This window comes from Homo sapiens, chromosome 4 (assembly GCF_000001405.40).
Source record: "Homo sapiens chromosome 4, GRCh38.p14 Primary Assembly".
Lineage (NCBI taxonomy): Eukaryota > Metazoa > Chordata > Mammalia > Primates > Hominidae > Homo > Homo sapiens.
The window spans coordinates 181346470-181352434 of NC_000004.12; the positions used below are offsets into that span (position 1 = coordinate 181346470).

The following is a 5965-nucleotide window of genomic DNA, read 5'->3' on the forward strand; positions in this document are numbered from 1 at the left end:
CCCCTTGGAAGCAGCCACCACGGGGCAGAAAGGGGCAGGTTCTTGTACCTGCTATGTTCAGACACTGGCTAGCAGTCGTTCAGGGAAAACCTGGGATGAGTGTGAACGTTCTAGTGAATCCCAGGGTTTCAGCAACTGGAGGTTTATTGGCTACACAATTTTCTTTGCAGCAGGATCTCTCTTGAATATTCGGAAATCTGAGCAGTGCACCTCTCCGGCTGACATGAGCCTATGATGTTTTTAGCTCTTACAGAGAGTGTCTTCCACAAAACTTTTAAAATAGACACTTTGTCCAGCATGAAATATGGTTAAAAGCCTAGCTACCCCAAATTAATGATGAGTGTCTGCCACGCAACTCCAGACGTAAAACCGAGAAATACAGTCAGCCCAAAGCTAAATGGTAAGTTATTTTAGAAGAGAAACCATCTTTGCTTCTCCCAATGCTTAGCAAAGCCCTTAGTATATATTACAGTTGCTCCATATATTTTTGTTAAAATGAAAAACAGATAATAGTCATTCTTACTTCATTTTTGGAAGGGTTCACACTATCTAAAACAAAAAAAAAAAAAAAAAAAAAAAAAAAAAAAAACTAAGGGCCGGGCACTGTGGCTCATGCCTGTAATCCCAGCATTTTGAGAGGCCGAGGCGGGCGGATCACGAGGTCAGGAGATCGAGACCATCCTGGCTAACACAGTGAAACCCCGTCTCTACTAAAAATACAAAAAATTAGCCGGGTGTGGTGGCGGGAGCCTGTAGTCCCAGCTACTCAGGTGGGTGAGGCAGGAGAATGGTGTGAACCCGGGCAGCGGAGCTTGCAGTGAGTGAGATCATGCCACTGCACCCCAGCCTGGGTGACAGAGCGAGACTCCATCTCAAAAAAAAAAAAAAAAAAAGAAAAAGAAAAAAAGAAAAAACAAATACAACTAAATCCTTATAGCTATGGTAAGGGGAAAAGATTCTATCCTTATTAAAGCAATTACCCATGCAGCCCTCAAAATGCATATATACCTTGACAAATATAAGTTTATCTGAAGTAGTTCCAAGTGTCGCCAATATGCCTAATGCACATAATTTGAGAACTTTAATACAAAATAGGCTATAAATTATATTTAATTATCTTTATTATTGCTAATTCCTCATCCTTGATTCATGGCAAAGACAATTGTGATGAATATCTGTTCTCATCAAACTTGTTCTAGAAACAGACATTAAAAGCAAAGTAGGGCCTAGAGGAGGGGTAAATAAAATCAGGTGAGATAATTCACTTATGATCCACTGGGTACCATAGCTATAGCTCAGATATATAAGTCAATTTCAGTTCGACTTGCTTCTTCCTGAATCCTTTCTCAAAGAAAGGATTTTCACATAATTTCACCTAGAGGGCTGCACTTGCATTTACTGTGATATCAGAAAGTGAGATCCTTCTTTGTTCTGATTGAAGAACACATGTACCTAGAGAAGAGATTCTGGGGAAGTCTTCTGAAACGGGTTACAATGTCTGAGGTATAATCAAGAACTTCAGATTCGATTAGAGTCTTCCTTTACATAGACATCTAGGTATTGTATTTCTTTTTTTTTTTTTTTTTTTTTTTTTTTTTTTTTTTGAGACGGAGTCCCGCTCTGTCGCCCAGGCTGGAGTGCAGTGGTGTGATCTCGGCTCACTGCAAACTCCGCCTCCTGGGTTCACGCCATTCTCCTGCCTCAGCCTCCCGAGTAGCTGGGACTACAGGCGCCCGCCACCACGCCCGGCTAATTTTTTGTATTTTTAGTAGAGACGGGGTTTCACCGTGTTAGCCAGGATGGTCTCGATCTCCTGACCTCAAGTGATCTGCCCGCCTCGGCCTCCCACAGTGCTGGGATTACAGGCGTGAGCCACCGCGCCCGGCCATATAGTTCTTGTTTGATTTTTTTTCAGGCAGCAAATGTTTGTTGTGGTTAACATGTTTGGATTCTTTTTAAATGAAAGGAAAACAAAACACTATAAATGTCATAGAAACAAAGTTTAAATAAAAGAAAGACAGGAAGAAACTGAAGGCTACGTAAATAAATTTTTTAATTTATTTATGTTCTATTCATGAAATATTCCAGTCGTTTCTGATAATTGACCTTGAATGCTGTGAAAATATTTATATTTCTTAACATTAAGAAACCTCCTTACCTATCTTTATTTTTTTGTTGTGTTGTTTTGTTTTGTTTTGTTTTGTTTTGTTTTGTTGAGACAGAGTTTCTCTCTGTCGCCCAGGCTGGAGTGCAGTGGCAGGATCTTGGCTCACTGCAACCTCCACCTCCTGGGTTCAAGCAATTCTCATAACACAGGCTCGTGAGTAGCTGGGACTACCGGTGTGTGCCACCGTGCCTGGCTAATTTTTGTATTTTTAGTAGAGATGGGTTTCGCCATGTTGGCCTTGCTGGTCTCAGACTCCTGGCCTCAGGTGATCCACCTGCCTCAGCCTCCTAAAGTGCTGGGATTACAGGCGTGAGCCACCGCACCCAGCTTATCTTTAATGTTTACTGTTGTCCAGTTCACCAGTTGAATGTATAGAAAACTCAATCAAAATAACGAATAATTTCTCTTTGGAGAAAATTGATTTAATTTTTTACATACATTGGTGGAACAATTGAAATACTACTCAGGGCGCTTAAGTCAACAATTTCTCTTTGACTTAATGGACTATTTTCTTTCTTTTCCTTTCTTTTCTTTTCTTTTTTTGAGACAGCGTCTTGCTCTGTTGCTCCTTACTGGCTGGAGTGCAGTAAGGAGATCTTGGCTGACTGCAACCTCCACCTCCCGGGTTCAAGCAGTTCTCCTGCCTCAGCCTCCCAAGTAGCTGGGATTACAGGCGCCAGCCACCATGTCTGACTAATTGATTTGTAGTTTTAGTAGAGACCGGGTTTCACCATGTACACCAGCCTGGTTTCCAACTCCTGACCTCAAGTGATCCGCCCACTTTGGCCTCCCAAAGTGCTGGGATTACAGGCATGAGCCACCACTCCCCACCAACTATTTTCATAATAGAATAAGATGACAACTAAAAAATGCTGTTCCCTTTTTACAGACCCATCTTTAGGTCCCTGAATCTATGCCCCTGAGTGCTTGAATCTACCTCCTTCCCTTTTTAAATAAGTTTCTTTTAAAACAAATATTAAAACCTTCCCATTTAATCCCATTGTCCTCTGTCATTTTTCCCCTTTACTAAACACTATCCCAAATAAATGTAATTTCCTCATTGTCTATATTTTTAAGGAGTTTTTCCTTAACCCCCTGCAATCACATGTTTTCTTCTTTATGTATTAGCTGCTAATCAACAAATTCCACCTCATTTTTCTCAGTCTCATTCTTATAAGCTTTCTTCAGTATCTAATGCCATTCATGCCATTCATGCCCCTTCTTTCTTCAAAAACTTCCTGTGGTTTCAGGGACCCTGTAACAATTATATGACACTTGCTTTTATAACATCGTCCTGTTGGCTTCCTTTTATAACATGTCTCACTGGTCCCAATTCTCTGTAATTGAACATTTTCTACTCTAAACATCATTTGGCATTCAAAGTCATTAAAACGATATTGTGCCACAAAAATGTCCTCATTCACCTGAATGTGCTATTTTTTGTTCTAGGCACCAATATACTGCAAAATTTACACACTTAAAACAGACTGATGCCTTATCTTGATCAACATTCTCCATTTGGAAAGCAGGATCAGTCCTATAAGCAAAGCATGCTTTAGTAAGAATTATACACACACACACATACACACACAGATATCCAACCTCTTCCTCAGTGGGTAATGACAACATATTCAACATTTACTCCCCTTTTCATACCTACCATCAGAGATATTTCAGACACTAGGGAGCAATTAATAACACTAATATAAGTAATCGCTTATAAAGATATAGACCAAAGAATGAATGATCTTTAGAAACTCTTCCCCAAAGACTCAGTGTAACACTATCAGCCTTTTTTGAAAATGGTTCATTTTCATCTTGGGCACTTGAAATTGGTAATTCATCCCTATTCTGTTTATCTAAACACATTTAAAATGCTTCTCTAATTTTTGCTAATTAACAAAGGACTTTGAAACTCTTTGTTACAGTATCTGTTTGTAGCCCCATCAATTTAATGCTGCGGGGATTATCACATTGTTACAATGGGGTTGGTGTTGTGAACACACAAGGATAAGGGGGGAAAAGGAAAAGTACAGTGTGGCGCCTAAAAAATGCAAACACAATTTAAACTTCTTTAATTTGTGTGGGGGGGATAGATAAATAATGATTTGCAGCGACCAGGGATCTCAGATGGCTTTGTTCATATTTTACTAGTATACTCCTCTTTGCAGCCTGAGTAATTAAGTCTTATGACATTCCAGAAACCATAAATCCTGCTGAGATGTTTAAGTCTGGAACAACCTCTTGATGTACAATCAAAATAATAAAAATAAAAAAGGACACTTCTCTGGTTCTTAACAAGCTGTTTTGCTGTTACTTCTGAAACACAATTGCATGTGGCCCACTCAAACTGTTTCGTCTCATTGTTAACTAGAAATTCCTTTTGAAATTCATTGCCTTCAATTACATTTTCTAAAAGAATTTTAATTGCATGGCTCTAAAGAATAAAGATGCTCTAGGCTCCATTTGTTTATCATGGAGGGGCCTAAAAAATGAGGACAGAGCTTCCCAGCTCATGCAGGGGTTGCAGAGAGAGGGAGATGACTTTTAATTCGACAAGTTCAGAGAGATTTCTTAGTTTGACGCGCTCAGCAGGGGGTCTTTGAGCGCCTGGCAATGCTTCAGCATTCTGAGCTTTGAAAGTCTTTCCCTGCAGCAGAAATTGTATCAAAAGCCAATGATAATATTCCCTGCAAGGTAAAGCACCCTATTGAAGATTTCGAGAGCTGTTTATTTATTCATCACAGTTTTCCTTTTAGGACGTATCAGGCATCTAGGTAATAATTCACATAGATGATAGAAAATGCAATAAATCCTCCTCATTAATCTTTCACCTTTTCCTTCTTCTACTTCTCTGTAGGCCACGTGTAGATATAAAATGGTCTTTCTGCTTGTCCCAAACATGTATATCTTTATACTGAATCTCAGTTTCTTCCCCTCTTTTTCCATTTTTAAACAAAATTGTCATTTCAGTCTACCTTCTACCACCAGCTGAGCATATAAGATGTTTAAGGCCATTTCCTCCTGCTAAATCCTCCAAGTGATTAATTAATTTTACAGGAGTATGTTCAGTGTCTAAGGTGTTTTTTGTATCTTGGTATTTTAAGTATGTTTCAGAAAGCTGTTTTCAAAGCAAATGTTAACAATCGTGTTGATCTCTTGAAGGATATACATATTTTAATATTTTGTATTATATTTTGTACACATGGTAGGACAAATACATTTCACTCTCTTTCACTGTTTCTAGGGCAGATCTGGGAGTAAGGGGCCATGACGACCTTTCCCTCTTGTGTCGTCAATGTCTGCTATCAGTTTGGCAGAATCAGTGAAGACAAAAACCGTTTTCCCTTGTTTTGTTTTGTTTTTTTTTTTTTTCTTTCATCTTCTATGGCATTAAAAGTGACCTTGCCTTGCAAATATCGGTGTGGTACCACAAGGGAAGCAGTTGCCATAGAGGAGAAAGTTTTCTTTCTTGATTATTATTATTTTTTTTAACTATAGGGGCTCAAGGAGAGAGCATTGCTTACAATTGCAGTTTTTTTTTAATGGAATCAATGAAGGAAAAGTATGCATGCAAAAGAAACTTGGAAAAAATTCAGTGCCTCATCATATTCGGGCATATATAAGTGCATTTCACTTTACAAACATAAACCAGGTGGTAGATTGTATTTAAATATCAAAAGTATGAGAGGAAATCACCATGCCAAGTAACCATTTCACTAACAAAATATCCATAGAATAGCATCAGCAAATATTCCATTCACCCATTAATATTAATTGAACTTCCACCAAGTACAA

At 38.8% G+C, this 5965-nt stretch overlaps 1 annotated feature.

The window, feature by feature from the left end:
* Positions 4234-4923: an enhancer, noted in NCBI's record as "NANOG hESC enhancer chr4:182271856-182272545 (GRCh37/hg19 assembly coordinates)". NCBI's record gives its function as "activates a minimal SCP1, AML or CMV promoter by ChIP-STARR-seq in primed H9 embryonic stem cells {active_cell/tissue: H9 hESC(primed)}" and the evidence as "EXISTENCE:reporter gene assay evidence [ECO:0000049][PMID:30033119]".